Genomic DNA, 26,289 nt, shown 5'->3' with positions numbered 1-26,289 from the left:
CTACAGGCGCCCGCTGCCACGCCCGGCTATTTTTTTGTACTTTTTTAGCAGAGACGGGGTTTCACCGTGTTGCCCAGGCTGGCAACCCGCCCACCTTGGCCTCCCAGGTAGGATTACAGGCATGAGCCACCGCGCCTGGCCAATTTTTGTATTTTTAGTAGAGATGGGGTTTCACTATGTTGGCCAGGCTGGTCTGGCACTCCTGACATCGTGATCCACCCGCCTCGCCCTCCCAAAGTGTTGGGATTACAAGCATGAGCCATCGCGCCCGGCCATCTTGTTTCCACATTTCAAGCTGCAAAGGCAGGGGCTTGGGCTAGCTGTTCAGAAATTTAATTAGTTTACCTAAGAGACGTCAGATCCCCCTGCTCTCATGAAAATCACTAGTGAGGTCTTATACACACACATACTTGTTCAGCGTGCTGACCTAAACAAGGTGGAACATAGTTTGAAAATAGAGCAATCTGAGTTATATGATCCAGTGGTTGCAGGAACTTGGGACAGGATTTTATCTTCAGCCTATTTCCTCATTTAGAAAATAATGGAATTTACTTTTCACAGTATTATAATAAAGTATATAGCAAAGTACATGGACTGAAACAATGTTTCTCTTCAATAGGAATGCTTTTAGGAAACTATCCTTAGGAGTTTTCCTTTCCCTTCAAGGAAATTTGATTGTCTACAATAAAAACCTCTAGCAAATGCCAAGTCACAAACTGAGACCCCTGACATTACTTCCCCCAAGTATCAAAAGGCTAATGGAACTTAGTCCCATATACAGTTGTTTCAAAACAGCATGGGTGTTAAAAGGCAAAAATTTCCCAAGAATCCTACCTCCACTTTTGTTAGGCTCAAAACTGAGGCTGGATAAACTTTCCTTGAAAATAACAGAAACAGTTTAGTGGCCAGGCACGGTGGCTCACACCTCTAATCCCAGCACTTTGGAAGGCCAAGGTGGGCGTTTATTACCTAAGGCCAGGAGTTCAAGACCAGCCTGGGCAATACGGTGAAACGCTGTGTCTCTACTAAAAATACAATTAGCCAGGCACCTCTAGTCCCACCTACACGGGAGGTTGAGGCAGAATTGCTTGAACCTGGGAGGCAGAGGTTGCAGTGAGCAGAGTGTCACTGCACTCCAGTCTGGGTGACAGAGGGACACTTCGTCACACACACACACACACGCAAGAACCTAAGCATTTGCTAGAGGGTACAATTATTGCTTCCAAAATAGTCCTTACATTTTTAGGCTATCTTTGAGAGGCTAAGTCTTGCCTCTCATTCAGTTCACTTTCTTACTCCTGGCTTGAGAATTCTACTGAAGTATGAGACAGCTGGCCAATAAGCCCAACTTGTTTGCCAAAGATGAAATCCATTATGTCCTTCTGCAACAGATGGTGAGCGTAAGTCCCAATAGAGACATACTGAGCTCAATGGCAGTGCTACAACTTGATTTTCCCTTGCCAGGGGAGCTAGAAAAAGGACATGCTCAATTGGATCAATAGTAAAGTTTACTTATAGTGAGCCAAGAATTACTCCTGTAGTGAGAACCCATTTCTATTTTCATTAAACCATGAAGCTGAATGGGATGAATCTAAATATAGAAATTCACATTAGAATCAACCATATCCTCTCTAACCTGAATTTCAACATGTTATTAACCATAGATATCACAAAGGAGGACAAAACAAGCAGAACTAAGTTAAATACAGTTTATTAAAAAAAAAAACCCATTCACAAAATGGAATTTGAGCTGCAGAACAGCTCATGTAAACTGCATGGCAGTGATAACGAAGTACAGTGGCTCAGATAAAGGTCTTCACAAGGACGTTCCTGCAAAAGGCAAAAGAGGTTGTAAAGTATTCATATAAGCAGAGGTGAATGACTACACAGTTATATCCACTGTCACTACTGGGAATACCTGGTTGGCTAATAACTCTTTTTGCAATTGGATGAGATTACGAAGTGTTTTGGTTTAAGGTACAGCTTGTCATTCTTTTACTTTGGGAACGCAGGGCATTCTTTTGCTGAGCACTAATTTGTAAAAACTTACCTTTCTGCCACGAACTTGGACAGATGAGTTTCTGTTTTTAAGAGCTGATAAGACTAGTAGCAGACTCCTCCCTAGAAAAGTAAACAACCTTTAGAACTAGCTCTAAGACCAAGTCCCATCTCAAGCTAAACCCCCCATACCTCCCATTAATAACCCACCCATCCCCCCACCATTTGGGGAAGTCTATTACTTTGAGCCATTATTTTAAGGAAATGGGTCAAAGGAAGATAAATAAAAGGGCAAAAATTTATATTCACAGTACAAATAATGTGCTCACTTCCTTCAACTGGGAGCCATCAATAGGGTGTCAATTTAAAACAATTCATCTCCAGAAAAACCAAGTTCAGCTTAACTGGACTAGTTTTGGCTCAATATATTAAGAAAAATGTTTAACAGAAAACTGGACTTTAAGTAACTATATGGATGTAAGTAAAATCTGTTCTTACCTACCCGCATAGCAATAAAACCTTTCCTCCTGGTTCTGACTGCTAGTCCTAAGAGTCAGGTGTGCCTTACTCTTGTCTGCCTCCTTCCTTGCGATGATCACTGATATTTCACTCCCTCCTAGCTTTCATGGAGCGTGCCGTGGCCTGCCCCTGGCTTATCTGTACTCCACATACCACAAGTGTCTACTCTCAGCTGTAGAGTGTCTGAGCTCGGAGCCATTCGCGCTATACTTGCTAGCAGTTCCTAGTAGCTGAACATCTCTCCTGGATCTTTAAAGGCATTGTCACGAATCCTGAGGTATCTGCAAACTCCCTCAATAGTTAGGGTTCCACCTGCTATTGCAAACTCAGCCAGTATCATGGAACTATCACCCATGCTTTCCCACCCACCACCACCTCCCACCCACCTCCCACCACCCTCCTCCTCCCCAAACTTCCAACACACCCATGGGATGGAATATACAGTCCTATTGATAGACAAATCTCTATGCTACTAGGTACAATAGCACTGAAATTGAGAGAGCACCAAAGGTAAGGCTCAAAAGAATCTATGTACAAATAACACATTATTGGATATTAACTGTTAAAGGTTTAGAAATCATTTTCTATACAATTAACATTTTAGGTAGGTTGTGTGACCCCTTGTGCCATAAAGGGAAACTGCAGTTAACATGAAATTATGTAGAAAAATTTAGTTTCTATTGGTATGGTTTGAATCTCCAAATTAATTAGTATAGTTAACTGATAGAACCTCTGAAGGCCCACCCAACCAGAACCCAGTCAAACTGCAGTTTTCCTTTAATGTAAGCCTATCTTTACGTTCATTAAAATGCTTTCTGATATTAGTTATTTTTAAAAGGCCTCCCAGACACTTCAAATCTGCGGATTTATGGAGCGGCATTAGCCAGCAGCTAGTTTCTATTCCCTGGCAGAGCTTTGAACTTGAATTGTGATAGAAGCATTCAACATTATTATCAGGGGGAGTGGGTAGGGAAAGTCCAAATCTCTGCCAGTCCCAAATCCATACAGTTGTCATTTCATTCAAGAGAATTAAATCGTTTATTGATTACACATGATAATGGATACACAAGCTTCATTCCCATCTATAATTTTATCTGGTACCATTATTCAATTTAGATATATTGCATAGGATGTGCCAACAATCACTTTTATAACCATTCCATGATTTTGCTTGGGTAATCCCTTTTAATGGTGAACTTCAGGTCACAACAGTAACTATCAGTTCAACTACACCAAGGTTTCCGAAGACAATGGCTTCTCCACCCAAGCAGGTTGTATATAAATTCCAAATAGAACCTGGCATCACCCTGAAGGAATTCTAACTTCACACTGTTGGGGAAATTTACCAAGATGGCTTAAGAGTAGACTAACTTTACACAGCACATTAAAAAAAAGACATTTATTCAGCGTCACGATCAGACTGTTACATTTAGCAATCAACAGCATGGGGTGCAAAAAAAAAAATCTACATTAAAACCCTTTGTTGGAATGCTTTACACTTTCCACAGAACAGAAACTAAAATAACCTGTTATACAATTAGTCACAAATACAGTCCTCGAGTTTTTTGCCCATACACATGAGTATTTGTCTAAAACATGTCTTCTTTGTAGCAGCTAGGCCCTGCCACCACTGTGCTTGGCTGAGTTCACAAATCTGTTGTAACCTGTAGCTTCCCTGTCACTTCTCTGGCTCTCCTCTCCTGCTAAGCTTTGTTTCCTGTTGAACAATATGGAATAAAGTTGTTAATCTAAACATATTAAGACTCAAGGCTACAATCCAATATCAAGTTTGTTTCCCACAAATTTTGCTGATCTGAATATTAACTTTATATCCACAATTACTGCAATTATAATGTTAACTATGTTGCACTGCTCAGCTACATTAGGGTTATTGGGTTCATCAGCAATTTAAAAAATTATGTCAACACACAAAAAGGTGCTTACTTACCTAATTAAAATCTTCTGCCACTGCCATAGCTACTGCTGCTGCTGGAACCGCCATAGCCACCTGAAAAGTACAATTTTTCTTTTAAAGTTTCAAAGTGCCAACAGTAATGTTTTCATATTTGGGATAATAAAAGTTAAATTCAAGTGTCTGGCCATTTAAAAATGGCCCTACTACAAGGGAGGTGGTAAAGAGGTCCCATGATTTTTCTAATTTGTGATCAAATTATCACTTTCTGAAGGTTCTAAACTATAAACGTTTTGCTGCCCAGACATAGCAGTTAAAGGGCTTTCTTCCCAGCAGTAGCTACAGACACTCTTTTGACATTATCCAAAATTACATAGATACCATACCTTGGTTTCGTGGTTTTGCAAAGTATTGGCCTCCACCGCCATAGGGGCCAGAGCTTCTGCCTCCAAAATTTCCTCCCTTCATGGGTCCAAAATTTGAAGACTGATTGTTGTAATTCCCAAAATCATTGTAGCTTCCACCACCTCCAAAATTGCTTCCTATGAATGGGAAAGAGGGCCTTTATCTGTTACCTGAGGATGATGTTAGTTTCCAATTCTGTTTAGCAGTCAGAATAAAATAAGGTTGAGTTATCAGCCTTCCTTTCTCCCAAACTATGGTGACTCCAATCTTTGCATTTCATTCTCTGGGAAAGGCATTCAGTTGAATAATCCAGTAATACAAAGAAAACTGGCCTAACTCACCATGACATAAAATAAAGAGATTTTCAGAGTGGCACAAGCATACCCTTCAGCCTTGAAGGCCTTCACGGATCCAGGGCCACAGCAAGCAGAAGTATCTTGGATACATCAACTAAGCGCCTAAGGTCCCAAAGGAGTTAAAATACTAAATCCTTCTATGATACTAATCTAACTCAAAGACAACACTATCCACTTATCTCTACTATTTGGGAGTGAGGCGGCCCCAGCTTAAAGCTAGGAGGAGGTAGCATAGCAAGCCCATTTGTTTTTAATATACCATGCAGTGTACCACACAATGCTTCAACAGCACCAGAACCCAAGCTCTAAAAGGCTAATCTAGCTGTCACACCAAGTACTTGGATCACTGGATACCTACCACTACCACCGCCAAAGCCGCCTCCGCCTCCGTTGTTATAGCTGTCATAGCTGCCACTCCCGCCATAGCCACTGCCCTGGTTTCCATAACCCTGTCCACCACTTCCATAGCCTCTGCTTCCTCCAGAGTAACCAGGGCCGCCTCCTCCATAACCACCTACAAGAATACAATTCTTCTCAATAAGACAAAAGTATTTGACAATGAAAACTTGTGCAAGTGTAACGGCTGAAGGCCTGCTCACAGCATGCGTGTTATGGGCAAAGTTGAGTTTGACATGCACCAGAATTTTAGTCTCTACTAACCTATTCTAAAGATCCAGGTTGCCAGGAATTTTTCTCTACTTATTCCTAAAAAACTTACCATCATTACCAAATCCATTATAGCCATCCCCACTGCCACCATATCCACCACCACCACGGCTGCCACCAAAGCCACCTGTAAGAAAAAGTTTCAAGTTTTAAGTATGACTTGGACTTAAAGTGACATTCTGAATGCAGTTCCCGTACTGTAAAATCTTCATAGCAAAGATGGTGAGAAGTCAGAACTACATGTAGATAAACCATACATACCACGACCACTGAAGTTTCCTCCACGACCGAAGTTGTCATTCCCACCGAAACCACCTCCACGACCACCACCAAAGTTTCCAGAACCACTTCGACCTTAAGACATGAAGTTTAAGCATTAAATCATTCATACTGGAGTAACTCAAAGTTACCTTTAAGGTTTAATTAAGCAACAAGCATACCTCTTTGGCTGGATGAAGCACTAGCCATCTCTTGCTTTGACAGGGCTTTTCTAACTTCACAGTTGTGGCCATTCACAGTATGGTATTTCTGAACTAAAAAAAAAACATAGATACAACATGGTATCAGGGTTTAGAATGCCATACAGATTGTGGAACCCTTACTAAATGCCACTATCTGATACTTACTGACAATCTTATCCACGGAGTCATGGTCGTCAAAGGTTACAAAGGCAAAGCCCCTTTTCTTGCCACTGCCTCGGTCAGTCATGATTTCAATCACTTCAATTTTTCCATACTGTTCAAAATAATCTCTTAGGTGATGTTCTTCAGTGTCTTCTTTAATGCCACCAACAAATATCTTTTTCACAGTTAAGTGGGCACCTGGTCTTTGAGAATCCTAATAGGAGAAAAACCATAGGTTTAGATTAGCAAAGCCTATACTCGAATAAAAAATTTTGGTAAGTTTAGAAAACTCCCGAATCTTAAGTCCATAGCAGCACATATCCAAGTAAGTTTAAGAAGAAGAAGAAAAAAAACCCACTCACTTCTCTGGAGACAGCTCTCTTTGGTTCCACAACTCTTCCATCCACCTTGTGTGGCCTTGCATTCATAGCTGCATCCACCTCCTCCACAGTGGCATATGTGACAAACCCAAAGCCCCTGGAGCGCTTGGTGTTTGGATCTCTCATTACCTGAGAACAGTGTTAATTTATGTAACACAAAGTCTGACCGCAAAAGCTTTTGTCATTTTAACTTTGAATAGGGCAATAGGAAACTTTACACCAGCCTTTTATAAAAAGTCGTCCAGTTTCCCACTACCCTAGATTTAAGAGGTAGCTTTTAAAATCAAAGCAGGACGTTCCTTTGCCAACAAAGCTCTAACTATAATGCTATTAACTACTTTCATAAGCATTCGGAGAAGACTGCACCAAGATAAGCCAAGGAAATCGGCTGTTTTACTGCTTTGTCCCTTCCAAATCTTACCACACAGTCCGTGAGCGTTCCCCATTGCTCAAAATGGCTCCTCAGGCTCTCATCAGTTGTTTCAAAGCTCAACCCTCCAATGAAGAGCTTCCTCAGCTGTTCGGGCTCTTTAGGAGACTAGAGTGGGGGGAGGGGGAAGTGTTAAATGGGCTACAACACGAAACAATTTCCATCGAGGAAAAGAAAAACTAGACACCAACTGTGTACCTAGCACTTATTGTTCGTTCAGGTCGCAACAAGACACGTGCTTCTGCCTATCAAGGGAGGCCGTATGCTGGAGTTGGGAGTGCTAGGAAATCGCAAGCGCATGCGTCCCTAGTCGCCTTCCGACGCACGCGCAACAAAGGCTTGGGCGGTAGGGGTGCATCTCCACAATGGGACTAATCGCTCTTTAGAAAACTCGCTCACCAAGGCAAGGTTTAAAAAAAGACAAAGATCCTGTGTGCCTAAGAATTTTGCTACGAGTAACGAGTCCCGCATGATAACTCATGGTTGGCGGAGAGCGGCCTCATGGCGATCAAGAGGACAAAATGGCGACTTGAACTTTGGGAGGGGTAGGCCGTGGCAGCGACCGAAGGAACTGTAGAATGGGCTGGTGCAAGGAACGAAACCCAGCAGCATCTTACCGATTCAGGAAAGGGAGAGGAAAAAATTCAAGTGGGAAAGCGCGCCTAACTCACCTCTGACTTAGACATGACGGCAGGGTGAAGAGAGACTTTAACGATGCTTCTTCGGCGGCGTCCACGGGCAGAAAGGAGCAAGCTGACGAACGTATCTGCCAGCCTACCTTCGCCCTCTCTTTTTTACCCCGCCTCCTCGCTTTCGGCATTGGTAGACTCCGCCCTGGAACAGCTCTGATTGGATACTTGAAATCGCTTCCCCCTGCTATTGGCCTGTGGTGCCACATTGCTGTGTAACGTCATTCCTTCGGTCGTTCTACGCCGTCTCCACCCCTTGGAGTCCATTGGTTCCCGAGTAATGTTATTGTTAACCAGTCTGATTGGCCAACCGACCAATCATTCACATTTGAATCTACCTTGGGTGTTTAACATCTTTTTAATCTTCCACGCGCAAATATTACAGTCAAGTCGCTTGGCAAAGCATGATTAACACTATGTATTAGACAAGCAGCCAGGAGGTAACAATTTTTTTGCAATGAACTCTTGTTGACCGCACGTGTAGTAAAATGGCGAGTTTTGCGCAGGCGCATTAAGAAGTTCCACCTGCCTCTGAGAACACGTGAAATGGCGGGCAGGAGTAGGCAGTGAACCTACGGCGCCTGCGTGTTGGCGGGAGTTTGTCCTAGCTTTGCGCATGCGTAGTGGGCGGAGAAAAAAGGTCCGGTCCCAGGATTGGTTGCGCAGGCGCAGGGAAGGATCCGTTTTGGCGGGCGGTTGGCGTTGCGCAGAAGGCGGCGGCGGTGGTGGCTTGTGGTGCGGCCTCACCATACAGGAACAGGGCAGACGTTAGCGTGAGTGATCACTCTCAATCCCGGGTAAGTGGCAGACAGTCTTATCTACCCATAGTAGGTCTTGAACTGACTCCATTTGGGCCCGTTATTGTGTGAAATGAATGGACGGCGGGGTGGGGGGATAGTGAAGGGGCAGCGGTGGGTCGGGCCAACCAATAGAAGAACAGGGGGCGGGATGTTTTAATCCCCGTAGGTTCTTTGGAGCTGTGCAGCCGAAGACTTTGACTGGCTTGTGTATAGGCCAATTGGGTCTGCCTTGAGCTGCCGACTGATCGGCCCTTGGGCCATCGGAATGTGGGAGACGGGTTTTCCCCTTCTGAGCAGCGTCTCACTGAGCCAGTGAGCAGGAAGCGCGCGGTAGGTTGGGCTTCTCCAGGAGGCAGCGGTTTGACTCCAATGGGGAATGCGGGATCGGGCGGTTAAACGGATGGAACGAATCTGGAACCAGTAGACGGACAGCCTAAGGAAAGCGCTGGGACCAGTCGTCCAATCGGCTCTCCAAAAGAGGGAGGTCTTCGATTTGGGGTTGTGAGGAAGGGGAGTCGGTGCCTGTAATGGCGTGTGAGGGTGGATGTTTTATCCACGATGACTTCTCTAACGAAGCCTTTAGGCCTCAGTCCCATACACCTCCTTGAAAGCGTAAGTTTGCTCCTGTATTCCTCGACTTGAGCATTTTTCCCCCGCCCCCTCACCACTTGAGGTTTGGGGAACAGGAGTTGTTTTTTTTTGTTTGTTTGTTTTTAAATAATACTTTCAGAAGTCGCTTCTTTAGGAAGACTGTTAAAATGTTAGAACGAATGGGAGAAATCTCTATGTACTGTCATGGAAAGGCGTTCAAGAAATATCTCCTTCCTGATAGTGCATATTTCTACTGACAAATATGTTTGTAGGTCCACAGAAAAGTTTTGGAAAGCTACACACCAAAGTGTCAATCCTAGGGACACAGTAGGATCGAGGCAGATTAGATCTTTAATGTTTAAAACTTTGCAAGGTTAATAATTTGTGATTAAAATTAAATAAAAAATGAAGTCGATTGTTTTGTGTTTCTAGTCATAATCACATACTTACAACCCCTTTTCTGTTTTATGTAATCCATGTGCCCAGTGCTTTTATTTTAGTCTCTTTCTCCCGGGAACTTTCATATATTTCTTTTCTTTACACCATTGAAGATATCCTAAAGTCCCTCTTTTTGCTGTTCCTTTGAGGATATCTGACTTTGGAATAAAAAAGAAACAAAGAGGGTAATATTTAGGGTTCTGGGGACAGAAGATTCATCCATCACCTGGATTATTCCTTGCCTTTTAATTAGATTTCCTTCGAAGTGTGTTTTACATGCAGTCTATCTCCTTTTGGTAATGCCCACTCTGCTTATTCCAGGATCTTTTGGAGAAATAAATAAATTTTGATAACATTGGCTGTATCAGAGTCTTACTGCTTTATTCAATAATTTATTCAGGATCAAGGGAAAATATTTAAATACTGAAAATCAACTACCTATGAAATACACTTATAATTAGAGACCTTTCCGACTTTATACCAAAGACAGACGATTTTAATAGCAGTTTATGAACAGAGGAGAGATTTCCATGTTCTCTGGCACTAGCAAAAGGACAAACCTATAATTTATACCTGGCTGTAAACCTATTTGTAGGTATGCTAGTAATGGAGTTGCTGAGCTTCTGAGAACTAAAGTGATACTGGTTAAGGGTATCTGTCCTGGATTTATTTAGGTTTGGAAGGAATACAGTCTTGACCTACAGCAAGGTTTCTCAGCATTAGCACTGTTGGTATTTTGAGGCAGATAATTCTTTGTTGAGGGTGCTCGGAGTGTCCTGTGCATAGTAAAATATTTAGCAACATTCCTGGCCTCTACCCACTGTATGCCAGTAACATCGCATCACTCGCCACATCCCCATTTGTGACAGATTGTTTCCAGACATTGCCAAATGTCCGGGGAGGTAGGGATGGGGGATAAAATCTCCCTTGGTTGAAAACCATTCATTTAAAATACTGGAGTATGCAGGGCACAGTTTCGTGTTCCTGTAGTCCCAGCTACTCTGGAAGCTGAGGCTGAGGTAGGAGGCTTGAGTTCAGGAGGTCAAGGGTGCAGTGTGAGATGATTATGCCTGTGCATAGCCACTGCACTCCAGTCTGGGCAGCACAACAAGATCCCATTGCTAAAAAAATAAAAATAGAACACTAGAGTTTATTATTTTTTCAAAATCCATTATTTTACCAATTGGAAAATAGGTAAAGGTGAGAAGATGGTTGAAATGTTTAGGGAGTGGCCTTTGGTAAATGGATCACTAAATCCTGATGTTATCTCCTTAGATACAGAATTGATCATTGTTCCATTTAATAAAAGGAAATTTTTATTAAAATTTTTACCACTTGGTCTGGCGCCGGTGGCTCATGTCTGTAATCCCAGCACTTTGGGAGGCCAAGGTGGGCGGATCACTTGAGGCCAGGAGTTTCAGACCAGCCTGGCCAACAAGGTGAAACCCGTCTCTACTAAAAACAAAAATTGGGCTGAGCGTGGTGGCTCATGTCTGTAATCCCAGCACTTTGGGAGGCCGAGGCGGGTGGATCACTTCAGGTCAGGAGTTTGAGACCGGCCTGGCCAACATCGTGAAACCCCGTCTCTACTAAAAACACAAAAAATTAGCCAGGTGTGGTGGCGGGTGCCTGTAATTCCAGCTACTCGGGAGGCGGAGTCAGGAGAATTGCTTGAACCCAGGAAGCAGAGGTTGCAGTGAGCCGAGATTGCGCCACTGCACTCCAGCCTGGGCGACAAAGCAAGAGTCCGTCTCAAAACAAAAAAACCCACAATAATTAGCCAGTCATGGTGGTGGGCGCCTGTAATCCCAGCTACTCAGGAGGCTGAGACGGGATAATCGCTTGAACCTGGGAGGCAGAGTTTGCAGTGAGCCGAGATGATGCCACTGCACCCCAGTCTGGGCGACAGAGTGAGACCTTGTCTCAGAAAAAAAAAGTTTTTACCACTTTTTGCTGCTTAAACTTACACATACGATTGATTGCATCTTGTCCTTGTTTGGCTTCCTAAAATAATGGCAAATATGTTTTTGAAGAAGGTAGACTTTGCCTCACATCCTTCTTTTTCACTTGATTCTAGCTAGCCTCTTTCTTTTCCTGGGATTCTTTTGGATCCACGTCTCAAAACTTTTTTGACCGCAATAAGAAATATATTTTACACTAATCCTGTACACACATTGAAACATTTCACTAAACGTGCAGAGTACTCTGATATTCTTTTGTCTGCAGTATACTATTTCATTGTCTTAAGAAAGCAGTCAATTTCCATTGAACTGATTTCACAGCTGTTTATAGACCCAGGGTTTTGGGGGAAAAAGACTGCTGATCTGAAGAATAGGTCACCAAATCATGCCAACTTTGATTGCTTTCTGAGTCAGTTCCTTCCATCTCCAGCCCCAGCCACTTGTACAGATGGTCCCTTGCTTGTGATATTTCGACTTAAGATTTTTCACCTTTACAACGGTGTGGAAAGCAATTTGCATTCAGTAGAAACCATATTTCAAGTATCCACATAACCATTCTGTTTTTCACTTTCGGTACAGTAATCAACCAATTACATGAGATATTCAACACTTTATTATAAAACAGGCTTTGTGTTAGGTGATTTTGTCCAACAGTAGGCTAATGTAAGTATTCTGAACACATTTAAGGTAGGCTAGGCTAAGCTATGATGTTCAGTAGATTAGGTGTAGGAAATGAATTTTCAATTTTTCATATTTTCAACCTATGATGGGTTTATCAGGACATAACCCCATCAAGGAGTATCTATGTAAACAGATTAAGCAGTGACCCATTATTTGGTGTTTTTACTCATGTGTTTTACTTTGAAAGATTATAGGAGCCAAACCGAGACTTTCTAGTTTACTGTCGTGTGCAAGTGAAAACTGCTTGTTTTATTGTGAAGTCTCACAATGCTTAAAGAGGGAAAACAATAAAAATATTGCAAAATGTCTCCCAATGTGATAGGTTTTTTTTTTTTTTTTTTTTGGAATGGAGTCTCGCTCTTGTTGCCCAGTCTGGAGTGCGGTGGCACGATCTTGACTCACCTCAACCTCCGCCTCCCAGGTTCAAGCAATTCTCCTGCTCCAGCCTCCTGAGTAGCTGGGATTACAGGCATACGTCCGGCTAATTTTTAGTAGAGACGGGGTTTCTCCATGTTGGTTAGGCTGGCCTCAAACTCCTGACCTTAGGTGATCTGCCTGCCTTGGCCTCCCAAAGTGCTGGGATTACAGGTGTGAGCCACTGTGCCCAGCCTCCAATGTGGTAGTTAATAGATATGATGAACTTTTCTCTCTGGTGGTGAAATTTTAGTGGGTAATTTTTCATTGAAATTCTGGTACTATCACAGAGTTAGAAATCCTAACTTCCAATGTGATACGTGTTGGGCCTCTAATTACAGAAGTTATAACGCTTGTGCTTAGAACTTAGAGACATACTGCCTGGGCGCAGTGGCTTATGCCTGTAATCCCAGCACTTTGGGAGGCCGAGGCGGGCAGATCATGAGTTCAGGAGATTGAGACCATCCTGGCTAACACGGTGAAACCCCATCTCCGCTAAAAATACAAAAAATTAGCCGGGCGTGGTGGCACACGCCTGTAGCCCCAGCTACTCTGGAGGCTGAGGCAGGAGAATTGCTGAGCCTGGGAGGCGGAGGTTACAGTGAGCCGAGATTGCACCACTGTACTCCAGCCTGGGTGACAGAGCGAGACTGTCTCAAAAAAGAAAAAAAAACTTAGAGACATACCTACTATTGCAACCAAATCTAAAAGGGGTGTTTACTAAAGGGGAATATATTCTGTCTGAAAACTAGTAAGTGGAAAGCTTCAATTTGGGTAGTAGGTGAGCAGGATGATAGTTGGGGAAAGAAAGAGTGAGCCTACATTTGAAGCGGCTGGATTTGTATATGGCTAGGGAAATTCTGGAGATTCTCAGAGCCCTTAACAATACTCTAGAAAAGAGAAAGGTTTGGTATCAGGGTACAAAGATTTTTGAGGAAGACTAAGTCGCTTTTTGTTTCTATTGAGATTTGTTTGTTTTTGAGACAGAGTCGCGCTCTGTCACCCAGGCTAGAGTGCAGTGGCGTGATCTCGGCTCACTGCAACCTCTGCCTCCCGGATTCAAGCGATCCTCCTGCCTCAGCCTCCCGAGTAGCTGGGACTACAGGCACGTGCCACCATGCCTGGCTAATTTTTTTGTATTTTTAGTAGAGACAGGATTTCACCGTGTTAGCCAGGATGGTCTCAATCTACTGACCTCATGATCCAACCGCCTCGGCCTCCCAAAGTGTTAGAATTACAGGCATGAGCCACTGTGCCCGGCTCTATTGAGGTCTTTAACCACATAGCATGATTTCCATATCTTATTGGTATAGCCCATTTAATTAATAACTGTCCTGGTAAAGCATTTCTAGTCTTTATTTTGTCCTTTTACTTAGATTATTTTTATTTCCATTCATCTTACATGAAACTGGGCCTAAAGCTGTGTTATGGATATTGATTTTAAAAGTAATAAATTACAACATGAGATACCACTTGACTTAGTATGGCTGTTTACATATCTGCTATTCGTGAACTCGGACTCTGGGCAATCATCTTTTTCTCCTGATATAAACTTTTATTTTTCTTCCTTGCTTATAGAGAATGATTTTAACTGATCATTGTACTAATAGGAAGGAGTCCAGGTCATCCTGAGAAGAGTTCGCTTGTCCAGAGTCCAAGATGCAGATTTGTTGGATTTCTGTAAGCCACTCGAAGCCACATATTCATTTCTGATGACAGCTTTACACTTGTGCTGGAAGAACACCCACTGTGACAACTGCTGCCTATGTTTAGTCTGTCCAGGAGCTCTACCAACTAGCATGTTTGCAGAAAAACCTACACTGTTCTTGTTAGCAGCTATGTAAATATTAGATCTTTCTGAGTTTCTCTTCTCAGATCTGCCAATTTCTTTGGGGCAAATTGTATCCTGCAGTAGCCTCAATTTACCCTTTGAAATGAGGGATTAAAGGTTTTAGACATTCTTTGGGTTATCTGAAACACAATTCTTTTTGGATCAGTAATGTTTTATATATGTCCACTTTATGATGTTTAAAATTTTATTCCCCCTATGTATTAGTTTCCTGTGGCTGCTATAACAAATTACCACAGACTTGGTGGTTTAAAACAAGAGGAATTTATTCTTCTCAAAATTTTGGAGCCCAGAAGTCTGCAATCAAGATATTGAGGCCCCTCTGGAGGCTCTAGGAGAGAGACTGTTCTTTGCCTCTTTTAGCTTCTGATTATGGTCAGCATTCCTTGGCATATCTCTCTGTTCTGTTTTCACATTGTCTTCTCTTTTGAGTACTTGCATCAGAACTCTCCCTCTACCTGTGTATTATAAGGATACATATGATTGCAATTAAGAAACCACTTGGATGAACCAGGATAAATTTCTCCAATCCTATCTTTTAATTCAACCTGAGAGAGCAGATTTAAAATATATTTTATTCCTAAAGTGGCAGGTCCCTGAAAAAAAAATGTAGATTCATGTTTATTTTGAGACAGAGTCTCGCTTTGTCACCCAGTCTGGAGTGCATTGGTGTGATTTTGGCTCACTGCAACCTCCGCCTCCCAGGTTCAAGCTATTCTCCTGCCTCAGCCTCCTGAGTAGCTGGGATTACAGGTGCCTGCCACCGTGCCCGGCTAATTTATGTATTTTTGATAGAGACAGGATTTCACCAGTTTGCCAGGCTGGTCTAGAACCCTTGACATCAGGTGATCCGCCTGCCTCAGCCTCCCAAAGTGCTGGGATTACAGGCATAAGTCACCGCGCCCGGCCGGATTCATCTTTTAATCACATCTTTTGCTATATAAAATAACATTTACAGGTTCAAGGGATTAAGATAAGAATCTCTTTGGGGGAGGGCCATCATTCAGACCACTACACATTGGTTCCCTAACCTCTACCCAAATAGATTTGAGCTAATTCAGAAAAGAAAATGTTATTTTTAAAGAAACAGAGGCAAGTGAAAAAAGGCTCAGAAACCTGGGTTCTTGTCCTGCCTCTGCCATTATCTAATGGTGTAACCATGGGTGAGCCATTTGCCCTCTTTAGTCCTTAGTTTCTTTATCTTATAGGGAAGGAGTTGGATAAGTGATCGTTAACAAGCCTTCTAGACCTAAGACTTTATGAAGTGATTCCTAAGTCATCTTGGAGTTTGTTTTTTAAGTCAATAATTTAAAATGTGAATCAAAACATTACAAATTACAACATTTTGGGTGAGGGTAGTCCTGTTCTTGCCTAGGACTTGAAGGATGGAAGACTGAGCTGTTGGCTGACTGTCAACTCCTTGGGGTATTAACACAGGATAACTAACCTGTATTTGTTAGCTGTGTGCTTAAACCTTTCTGAAGAAAAGATTTTCTACAAGGGATGTAATAGACTAGCTGGAACATTTTCACTACATTTTTAGTGAGACTATAGACTGTGTAGCCTGAATTTTCTTTCCAGTAGTAGTAGTTCATCAAAATTAAACACTGACAGATTTTTTTCTACCTGAAACTAGGTCATAGAGTAAAAATTTTCACTTGCAGTCTTACTCTTCAGACTCACTGAATGCCTGTTCCATCCTGTTTCATTGCTAGGAAGGACACTAGATAAAGCCATGAGCTTGAGATGGTGTACTTGAAAGGACCGTTTCAAGATCAGGTTTTATAACACACTCATTATTTATTTCTTCTGTGGAGAGGAGAAACCAAATTGGATTCAAGTATTTTTCTGATAGTAATCTATGTTTCTTAGAATAAAGCAAGTTCATATCTGAGCCAGAGGGCATAATTATGTCAGAATAAAATATAATTATGTCGGAATAAAATGCCCTGTACTAAAGAGGTCAACTAACAGGCTGGGAAATCTTAAGTTTTGTTTTTAAGACAAATCCTTGAACTCTCTGTGCCTCGTTTCTCATCCCTAAATCTGTGCAACTCACCTCACAGGGAGTTGTGGAGGGTAATATACTGCTAATTTGTTCAGTGTTTCACAACAATAAATTATGCCTAAGATCTGATAAAACATAGCAAACCTCATTTATGTAAGTAGAGACAAGCATGGATAAGACTTACAGATAATAAAGAAAATTCATTAAAATTTTTTTAACTTCCTTGATTATTAAACATTTTTCCTTCTGTTTCCTATATATTTTCCAAAGTATTTTCCTATTGTTTTTCCATAATAGACTTATGAGATAGGGCAAATAACAAACACCAGGTTATATAATAAATGAATAAATTCATCAAGCGGACATAACAATCCTAAATGTCCTAAAAGCTAATAATAAAGCTTCAACATACACAAAGGAAAACAGAAATGAAGTAACAAGCCAGGTGCAGTGGCTCACGCCTGTAATCCCAGCACTTTGGGAGGCTGAGGTGGGTGGATTACCTGAGGTCAGGAGTTCCAGATCAGCCTGGCCAACATGGTGAAACCCTGTCTACTAAAAATACAAAAATTATCTGGGCATGGTGGCGTGCGCCTGTAATCCCAGCTACTTGGGAGGCTGAGGCAGGAGAATCGCTTGAACCTGGGAGGTGGAGGTTGCAGTGAGCGGAGATCGCGCCACTGCACTCCAGCCTGGGTGACAGAGCAAGACTCCGTCTCAAAAAAAGAAAAGAAAAAGGAAATAACAGACATCTGCAATTATATTTGGAAATTTCAGTGCCTCTCAGTAATTGATAAAACAGGTAGATGAAATCAGTAAGGAAACGGAAGACTTGAACAACACTACCAACAACCTGATATAATTGACATTTATAGAATAGTACAAGCAACAGCAGAATACATGTGCTTTTCAGGTGCACATGGAACTTTTACACAGACAGTTTACCTTCTGGGTCAATAAGTCTCAAATTCAAAAGGATTCAATCATAAAGGTTTTTTAAAAAAATTTAAACGGGGTCTTGTTCTGTCACCCAAGCTGGAGTGCAGTGACACAATCAACTCACTGCAGCCTGAAACTCCTGGGCTCAAGTGATCCTCCTGCCTCAGCCTTCTGAAAAGCTGGGACCACTGGCATGTGCCACCATGCTCAGCCACCCACCCTTTTTTCTTTTTTTGTAGAGACAGGGTCTCGTTATGTTGCCCGGATTGGTGTCAGACCCCTGGGCTCAAGTGATCCTCTCATCTCAGCTTCCCAAAGTGCTGGGATTACAGGCATGAGCCACTGTGCTTGGCCAAGGTATGTTTATTTCCTGATCATAGTGCAATTAAATAAAAAATCAGTAACAAAGACATCAAGAAAAATCCCTAAATATTTTGAAATTACACAACACACTTCTAAGTAACCCACCTACAAAGAGGAAATTACAAAGAAAACTAATACTTGGAACTGAATGAAAATGAAAAGATGATATATCAAAACTTTTAGAATGAGGCTAGGTGCTGTGACTGATTCCTGTAAACTCAACGCTTTGAGAAGCTGAGGCGAGAGGATCACTTGAGCTCAGGAGTTCAAGACCAGCCTGGGCAACATAGTGAGACCTAGTCTCTAGAAAAAATTAAAAAGTATCCAGGAGTGGTGGTTTGCCAGTAGTCCCAGCTAGTTGGGAGGCTGAGGTGGGATGCTTACTGGAGCCTGGGAGATCAAGGCTGCAGTGAGCTATGATCCTGCCACTGCACTTGAGCCTGGGTGGCAGAGACCCTATCTCAAAAACAAAACAAAATTGTGGGATGCAGTTAAGGAAGTGCTTAAAGGGAAATTTATAGCATTAAGTACTTTAACAACAAAAGCAGGTCACTGACAGGTTTGGCCCTGTGAACCTAGAAAAAGAACAAATTAAATCCAAAATAAACAAGAAAATAGTAATGATAAAAGCAGCAATTAATGGGATATAGAACAATAGAGAATAGAAAAAAACGGAAAGTTCTTTGAAAAGATCAATAAAATTGATAAATCAGGAAAAAAGATACTAATTAACAATATTAGGAACTAAGGAATATCACTATTGATCCTACAGATAATAAGGGAATATTTTGAAAAACGATACGAATACATTCAATGTCTTAGTTGAAGTTAGTAACTTCCTTGAAGACAAACTACCAAAACTCACTTAAATACAGAACCTTGGGTGGGCATGGAGGCTTACACATGTAATCTCAACATTTTGGGAGGCCAAGAGTTCAAGACCAGCCCAGGAAACATAATGAGACCTCTCTACAGGCAAAAAGAAGAAAACGTCAGAACCTTACTAGCCCTATCTCTATTAAGGAAAAGGGATTTTTAGATAGAAATAATCCCACAAAGAAAACGCCAGGCCCAGGCCAAGCATGATGGCTCATGCCTGTAATCCCAGCACTTTGGGAGGCTGAGGTGGGTGGATCACGAGGTCAGGAGTTCAAGACCAGCCTGGCTAGCATGGTGAAGCCCCGTCTCTACTAAAAATACAAAAATGAGCCAGGCATGGTGGTGTGCTCCTGTAGTCCCAGCTACTCGGGAGGCTGAGGCAGGAGAATCGCTTGAACCTCAGAGGCGGAGGGTGCAGTGAGCTGAGATTGCACCACCGCACTCCAGCCTGGGCAACAGAGCAATCTCTGTCTCAAAAGAAAAAGAAAACTCTGAGCCCAGATGGCTTCACTGAAGAATTTTACCAAACCTTTTAGGAAGAAATACCAATTTTATACAACAAACTCTTCCAGAAAACAGAAGCAGGAACGCTTAAAACAGTTATTTATTTATTTATTTTGAGAAGGATCCTCGCTCTGTCACCCTGGCTGGAGTGTAGTTGTGCAATCTCGACTCACTGCAACCTCCGCCTCCTGGGGGGTTCAAGCGATTCTCCTGCCTCAGCCTCCTGAGTAGCTGGGACTACAGGCACGTGCCACCACGCCTGGCTGCTGTTTTGTAGTTTTAGTAGAGACAGGCTTTCACCGTGTTAGCTGGGATGGTCTCTCTCCTGACCTCGTGATGCGCCCACCTCAGCCTCCCAAAGTGCTGGGATTATAGGCGTGAGCCACCGTGCCTGGCCCAAAACAGTTATTTTTAACTTCATCTACTATCAGACATTTAACTTCTATTTGCTTTATATTTTTCAAGTATTTTCTTGTTTTTCCCACAACAGATGTTTAAGTAGGGCTAATAACTAACACCCATGAGAGTCAATGAAGTTGTCCAATTTGACCTTTTAATGATCTAGTTGGGTTAGGACCCACATGTACTTATTCCTGTCCTGATCTTTCCACTATTGACAAGTTACCTTTTACCTTTTCTATAACAACCTTTGGAGAAGTTGCTAACTTGACCAAGGAGAAACTTCAAAAATCCTCGCCTTAAAATTGGAAACTGGAATAGACTGTGCTCATGCAATGCTTGACACTTTTTAGGCCCTCAATAAATATCTCATAATCAACCAATTTTAGAGCAAGGATCAGAATTACTATATTAATCATATCTTTGGCATAGGATTTGAATTGGGAATGTAGTTGGAAATTGGACAAAAAGGGAGTCAGAAAAATCTCATGTAACACATCAAAACACTCACTTGAAGAGCTGGGTGGTCTGAGATTGCCCATCCCTTTAGCATTTATCTGATGCCTTTCTTTGCATTTAACTGTCAATATAGCTGAAGTTTAGAGCACACTTTTATGATATTGTGGCATAGTAACTCAACTTAAATGTCAATAGAGACACTTGAAAAGACCTGCAAGGTTCGATAACTTCTGGTGTGGGTTTGTTTCTCCTGTCATCACCCATTATGTATTTTTTTTACAGCTTTTAAATTCCCACAGAGAGAAATTGGTCAGGATCATAATACATGGCCCAGGAGCTGCCAAGGATACCCTTGTATTTTTGTTGTTGTTTGTTTGAGATGAAGTCTCGCTCTGTCGCCCAGGCTGGAGTGCAATGGCGCAATCTTGGTTCACTGTAACCTCCGTCTCCCGGGTTCAAGCGATTCTCCTGCCTCAGCCTCCTGAGTAACTGGGATTACAGGCGCCCACCACCACGCCTGACTAATGTTTGTATTTTTGGTAGAGATGGGGTTTCGCCATGTTGGCCAGGCTGGTCTCGAATTCCTGGCTTCAAGTGATCCGCCTGCCTCCACCTCCCAAAATGCTGGGATTATAGGCGTGAACCACCATGCCCAGCCAGATGTCTTCTTTAAACTGATGCTAAGAAAACATAAATTGTCAGCTGTGTGCTGTGGCTCACGCCTGTAATCCCAGCACTTTGGGAGGCCGGGGTGAGTGGATCACAACACGAGGTCAGGAGATCAAGACCATCCTGGCTAACACGGTGAAACCCCGTCTCTACTAAAAATACACAAAAAAAATTAGCCGGGCGTGGTGGCGGGCGCCTGTAGTTCCAGCTACTCGGGAGGCTGAGGCAGGAGAATGGCATGAACCCGGAACATGGAGCTTGCAGTGAGCCGAGATTGTGCCACTGCACTCCAGCCTGGGCGACAGAGCTAGACTCCGTCTCAAAAAAAAAAAAAAGAGAAAAATTGCCTGACTTAACACAGGCTCTTCGTTAAAATGGATGATTTGTTGAAATGACCTGAAGGAGCCTTTGTAACCCTTAAGCTACTGATGTCTAAAATGTGCAAGCTAGATGATGCCATGGTAAAGACTGAGTCTTAATTTTATGGCTGACGTTTGGAAAATGCTTTATGACCATAATTTTATTTGGGGACAAGTGTTTTCAGTATTCTTTTAATCCTTCCATATTTTGTGAACATGATCTGCCAAAGTGGTATGTATAAATCTAAGATTCATGACAATCTACTCAAATGTTGCTGTTACCCATTTTTCTCAAGATTTACTTATGATGAAATTGCCAGGTTCTTTGTGAAAGGTGACGAGGTCTCCAAATTCATGTTTCATTACACTTAAGAGGAGTGGATGTGAGATTAACACCCACCTGAGAATGTGGTGCCTTAAGATGAGTTCAGTACATTTCCAAGGATAAAGTTGTTGGAAAACACCATCTGGAAGGCATTTTCCCATGGTGGTGCCAAATTCTGCTTTCTCATAAATCTTGAAACAATTGGATATTTAACCTCTTGCCCAGTGGTGGGTTTAGGTGTACCCTAACTAAATTTAAAGAAAACTGATACTTTTTTTTAATAGGGCAACATCTTATTCTATAAAATAGAATGCGTGTTTCTGAAAACTGATAGTTGAGAGAAGAAATTGAGTGGATTTTAATAAGAGGGTGAAAAAAAATCCAATATAAAATGATGAGATATCAAGCAAGAATTTTTGTGTTATTGCTAAATACACCAGTTTACCAGACTGATACCTTCAAGCAGTTCTGAAAATTGAGTCTTGTAGCCCACATTCATTTGTAATATATTGGTAATCAGAGCCTGGGGGACATACAACCAAATGGAATTTATAGGGCAGCCTTTATCGTCATTTAGAATGTGTATATATACAATTATTATTTTAAATATTGCGGAGGTCTCACTATGTTTGTTCATGCTGGTCTTGAACTCTGGGCCTAAGCTGTCCTCCTGCCTCAACCTCCCAAATTGTTGGGATTATAGGTGTAAGCCATGGCACCCAGCCAAGTATATGTTTTTATATTTATTTTTTTATTTTTTATTTTTTTTGAGATGAAGTCTCGCTCTGTCGCCCAGGCTGGAGTGCAGTGGTGCCATCTCAGCTCACTGCAACCTCTACTTCCCAGGTTCCAGCAATTCTCCTGCCTCAGCCTCCTGAGTAGCTGGGATTTCAGATGCCCACCACCATGCCTGGCTAATTTTTGTATTTTTAGTAGAGACGTGGTTTCGCCATGTTGGCCAGGCTGGTCTTGAACTCCTAACCTCAGGTGATCTGCCTCTCAAAGTGCTGGGATTACAGGGTGAGCCACCGCACGCAGCCGTTTTTATCTAAAAGAACAAAAGGCCCTTTACTCCCTTGCTCACTGTAGTAGGAGGTTTCGCCTGGTTTTTTTTTTTTTTAAGACAGAGTCTGCCTCTGTTGCCCAGGCTGGAGTGCAGTGGCACCATCTCCGCTCACTGCAACCTCCACCTCCCAGGTTCAAGCGCTTCTCCTGCCTAAGCCTCCTGAGTAGCTGGGATTATAGACGTGCACCGCCTTACCTGGCTAATTTTTGTATTTTTAGTAAAGATGGGGTTTCACCATGTTGGCCACGCTGGTCTTGAACTCCTGACGTCAAGTGATCGATCTGCCTGCCTCAGCCTCCCAAAGTGCTGGGATTACAGCCGTGAGCCGTTGTGCCCAGCCTCTTGGCCTGATTTTTAAAGGATCATGAACTAGAGCTGTGCTAGCCAATGGGAGAACATTTCTTGCCTCCATGCTCTCTTCTTTTAATAAAGTTTGTGTTGTCTATATGTGGCTCGTTAATGATAGGGGTGTTAACGACCATAGTTAATCTTTCTCTTCAACTCTTTCCTAATCTAGTCTCTTAAACAGACATTTAAAAAGCTTTTAACTCCTCTTGAATTGTGTGCTCATGGGCTTTTGGTGGAGGTGGAGTGATAGTTATCAGCCCATTTAACAAAACCTGAGACAGCCAGGACAGCTGTAATGTGCATCTCTATGCTGTGTTTTTGTTAAAATGCCACATGGCTAATACTTTGGAAATCATAAATCCACTGCAAGAAAACATCTTTATAGGGGATATTTTAGTTTTATGCTGTTTGTGTTACACACCTAAAACCATCAGTACTTCAAGCTCCATAAAGAGCAAGGAACATAGAGCAGATTAAAATGTTTCTGTAAGTTTGGTTTATTTTCATCTGTTTTATTTGCTGCAATAAGGCTATATAGAGGATGCTTTGAAGACAGTGCTGTAGCTGACAATTTAATCTTCACCTAAGCCACTCTCTCCCTAAGGGCCTTAAGGAGAAGTGGGAATCGTGCAAGTCTGGGCCAACTGCAACCACTCATCAATGGCATATCTAATTAATCCATGTGATAGGGAGCTTTGCATATGCGCTCTCCTCTGCTCTTTAACCCTGGCTTACTTCCTAAAGGATTTTGCTTAGTTAGGGGGCTTATAGAATTTATGTTGAAACTCTACAATGGAGAGCTCATTGATTATGCATCTTGACATTTGGTTTGATTACCATCTTTAATTCAGTGGGTAGTTCAGTGAGGCAGCTTACCAATTGGCTTTCTTTTTCTTTTTTTTTTTCTTTGAGATGGAGTTTCACTCTTGTCTCCCAGGCTAGAGTGCAGTGGCGCAATCTTGGCTCACTGCAACCTCTACCTCCCAGATTCAAGCGATTCTCCTACCTCAGCCTCCCCAGTAGCTGGGATTACAGGCACCTGCCACCACACCTGGCTAATTTTTGTATTTTTAGTAGAGATGGGGTTTCGCCATGTTGGCCAGCCTGGTCTCAAACTCCCGACCTCAGGTGATCCACCCACCTTGGCCTCCCAAAGTGCTGGGATTACAGGCATGAGCCACTGCGCCCGGCTGGCTTTCATTCTTAATAAGAAGAAAGCTTAGTGAAAGATCTAGAATTATGTGTACTTTTGCTCATAAGTGGTGATGAAAATGAAATGACTATAACAAGATAAGAAAAGCCACCAGAATTGGTATTGAGAAGTAGTGACTGCTTTGTGGGGGTAAGGCAGGAGGATTGCTTCAGCCCAGAAGTTTGAGACCAGCTTGGGCAACACAGTGAGACTGCATCTCACCAAAAAATAAAAAAATGTAGCCAGGCATGGTGGCGTGCCCCTGTGGTCCCAGCTGCTCAGAAGGCCAAGGTGAGAGGATTGCTTGAGCCCAGGAGTTTGAGACTGCAATAAACTGTCCGCACCACTGCACTGCAGCCTGAACAACAGAACGAGGCCCTGTCTCAAAAAAGAAATGACTGGAGGGATGAGAGTAGAACCTGAACTGGACAAAGCAGACAGATACCAGGGACCCTATGTGGGTTCTTCCAGCATTAAACGGTCAATGCTGAGGGCTAACCATTACCTCTTTTTTATTTGAGACGGAGTCTCACGCTGTCTCCCAGGCTGGAGTGCAGTGGTGCGATCTCGGCTCACTGCAAGCCCCGCCTCCTGGGTTCACACCATTCTTTTGCCTCAGCCTCCCCAGTAGCTGGGACTACAGGCTCCCGCCACCACATCTGGCTAATTTTTTGTATTTTTAGTAGAGACAGGGTTTCACCATGTTAGCCAGGATGGTCTCAATCTCCTGACCTCGTGAGCCACTGCGCCTGGCCTTTTTTTTTCTTTTTTCTTTTCTTTTTTTTTTTTTTTTTTTTTGAGATAGAGTCTTACCCTGTTGCCCAGGCTGGAGTGCAGTGGCGCGATCTCAGCTCACTGCAACCTCCGCCTCCCGTTTAAGCGATTCTCCTGCCTCACCCTCCTGAGTAGCTGGGATTACAGGTGCGTAACTGCCTCAGCCTCCCGAGTAGCTGGGATTACACCACGCCTGACTAATTTTTTTGTGTCTTTAGTAGAGACGGGGTTTCACCATGTTGGCCAGGCTGGTCTCAAACTCCTGACCTCATGATCCACCTGCCTTGGCTTCCCAAAGTGCTGGGATTACAGGCGAGAGCCGCTGTGCCGGCCTACCTCTTGTTTTTCTGGGTTGCCCTAGCTTGCTTGTGATGCCCTCTCTGTAATTGCTGAGGACTGATAAGTTTTTTGTTTGGTTTTTTTTTGAGACGGAGTTTTGCCCTTGTTGTCCAGGCTGGAGTGCAATGGCTTGATCTCGGCTCACTGCAACCTCCATCTTCTGGGTTCAAGTGATTCTCCTGCCTCAGCCTCCCAAGTAGCTGAGATAACAGGTGCCTGCCACCACACCTGGCTAATTTTTGTATTTTTAGTAGAGACAGGGTTTCACCATGTTGGCCAGGTTGGTCTGGAACTCCTGACCTCAGGAGATCTGCCCGCCTCGGCCTACCAAAGTGCTGGGATTACAGGCGTGAGCCACCGCGCCCAGCCTCTTTTCTCATCTCAATGGGCCTTAGGTGCTGTAATCTATAGTTATTGGTAGCTTTACCAGATAGTTCCTATGTATATTTAAGAGAGAAGGCTGAGAGCTGTTATGCCTGAAAGACTCCAGAAATTTGAGAAGCTACTCACCCTTTCCCTTGGAGATTTCCACAAGGATAAGGTTGTGTTCAGAGGCTCATCTTCTTTTCCTCTGTCATGGTATTGGGATTCTATCTTAATCACTCCATCATCCTGCCAGCCATGTCTCATTTCTCATGCTGGAAAGCTCCCTCCTCCTAAGCTCAGTGTGAACCACCAGTCTTGATGCTTTATCTGGTCTAGGCTCTAGCCCTTAAATTGTTTGACTGGCTTTGTGTTTCATTTGACCCTAATACTCCGGGTCACACTGTCTAAAAGAGAATTATGTCCCCTCCGATGTCTGAGTGCATTTCTCATTTCTTACTGCTGCTCCTGAGCAGATCTGTAACTTCAAGGTTAAGATAAGACACATTCCATCAGAACTATGTCGTCATCCTTGCCAGCTTCTGATCTGTGACTGTCTAGGAGATTTACAAGACAATTGCATGCCATCCT

General features: G+C 42.8%; 2 protein-coding genes and 1 long non-coding RNA gene across 5 annotated transcripts in view, besides 8 other annotated features; 1 reads left to right on the top strand and 2 right to left on the bottom strand.

The window, feature by feature from the left end:
- On the bottom strand, positions 1,696–8,057 carry HNRNPA1 (heterogeneous nuclear ribonucleoprotein A1). Of its 3 annotated transcripts, none has more exons than NR_135167.2 (11): positions 7,961–8,057; positions 7,281–7,397; positions 6,842–6,988; positions 6,483–6,693; positions 6,297–6,389; positions 6,118–6,210; positions 5,909–5,983; positions 4,816–4,971; positions 4,466–4,525; positions 2,051–2,121; positions 1,696–1,830 (listed from the first exon to the last, which is right to left on the bottom strand). NR_135167.2 is itself a non-coding variant. In NM_031157.4 (11 exons), the coding sequence occupies exons 1-10, from the start codon at positions 7,973–7,975 to the stop codon at positions 4,470–4,472; spliced, it is 1,119 nt and encodes a 372-aa protein (NP_112420.1). In that variant the 5' UTR covers positions 7,976–8,057; the 3' UTR covers positions 1,696–4,234; positions 4,466–4,469. The 3 variants fall into 3 exon arrangements, 2 of the variants coding, with proteins under 2 accessions (NP_112420.1, NP_002127.1); NM_031157.4 differs by adding an exon at positions 5,549–5,704 and having other exon boundaries at positions 1,696–4,234; NM_002136.4 differs by having other exon boundaries at positions 1,696–4,234.
- Positions 6,778–7,536: an enhancer, noted in NCBI's record as "NANOG-H3K27ac-H3K4me1 hESC enhancer chr12:54675031-54675789 (GRCh37/hg19 assembly coordinates)". NCBI's record gives its function as "activates a minimal SCP1, AML or CMV promoter by ChIP-STARR-seq in primed H9 embryonic stem cells {active_cell/tissue: H9 hESC(primed)}" and the evidence as "EXISTENCE:reporter gene assay evidence [ECO:0000049][PMID:30033119]".
- Positions 6,778–9,298: a biological region, named in NCBI's record as "CRISPRi-FlowFISH-validated NFE2 regulatory element 2". NCBI's record gives its function as "regulatory_interactions: NFE2".
- Positions 6,962–9,262: a transcriptional cis regulatory region, noted in NCBI's record as "promoter|chr12:54673305-54675605 region (GRCh37/hg19 assembly coordinates) targeted for CRISPR interference". NCBI's record gives its function as "negatively regulates NFE2 gene expression in K562 cells {active_cell/tissue: K562}" and the evidence as "EXISTENCE:mutant phenotype evidence [ECO:0000015][PMID:31784727]".
- Positions 8,279–8,338: an enhancer, noted in NCBI's record as "active region_6440". NCBI's record gives its function as "activates an Ori minimal core promoter by ATAC-STARR-seq in GM12878 lymphoblastoid cells {active_cell/tissue: GM12878}" and the evidence as "EXISTENCE:reporter gene assay evidence [ECO:0000049][PMID:35858748]".
- Positions 8,297–9,056: an enhancer, noted in NCBI's record as "H3K27ac hESC enhancer chr12:54673511-54674270 (GRCh37/hg19 assembly coordinates)". NCBI's record gives its function as "activates a minimal SCP1, AML or CMV promoter by ChIP-STARR-seq in primed H9 embryonic stem cells {active_cell/tissue: H9 hESC(primed)}" and the evidence as "EXISTENCE:reporter gene assay evidence [ECO:0000049][PMID:30033119]".
- Positions 8,349–8,438: an enhancer, noted in NCBI's record as "active region_6439". NCBI's record gives its function as "activates an Ori minimal core promoter by ATAC-STARR-seq in GM12878 lymphoblastoid cells {active_cell/tissue: GM12878}" and the evidence as "EXISTENCE:reporter gene assay evidence [ECO:0000049][PMID:35858748]".
- Positions 8,661–26,289, top strand: part of CBX5 (chromobox 5) — a 49,181-nt gene continuing 31,552 nt past the window's right edge. The window contains exon 1 of the mRNA NM_012117.3: positions 8,661–8,775. The gene's annotated coding sequence lies outside the window, so the exon portion shown is untranslated. The remainder of the gene's footprint in view (positions 8,776–26,289) is intronic.
- Positions 8,729–8,778: an enhancer, noted in NCBI's record as "active region_6438". NCBI's record gives its function as "activates an Ori minimal core promoter by ATAC-STARR-seq in GM12878 lymphoblastoid cells {active_cell/tissue: GM12878}" and the evidence as "EXISTENCE:reporter gene assay evidence [ECO:0000049][PMID:35858748]".
- Positions 9,209–9,298: an enhancer, noted in NCBI's record as "active region_6437". NCBI's record gives its function as "activates an Ori minimal core promoter by ATAC-STARR-seq in GM12878 lymphoblastoid cells {active_cell/tissue: GM12878}" and the evidence as "EXISTENCE:reporter gene assay evidence [ECO:0000049][PMID:35858748]".
- Positions 9,720–26,168, bottom strand: SCAT2 (S-phase cancer associated transcript 2). The gene is made up of 2 exons (NR_157844.1): positions 25,846–26,168; positions 9,720–10,131 (listed from the first exon to the last, which is right to left on the bottom strand). It is a non-coding gene; the product is annotated as an S-phase cancer associated transcript 2 (long non-coding RNA).

This window comes from Homo sapiens, chromosome 12 (assembly GCF_000001405.40).
Source record: "Homo sapiens chromosome 12, GRCh38.p14 Primary Assembly".
NCBI lineage: Eukaryota > Metazoa > Chordata > Mammalia > Primates > Hominidae > Homo > Homo sapiens.
Note: the sequence above shows the minus strand (reverse complement) of the source record. Positions and strands in the feature narration are given on the sequence as shown.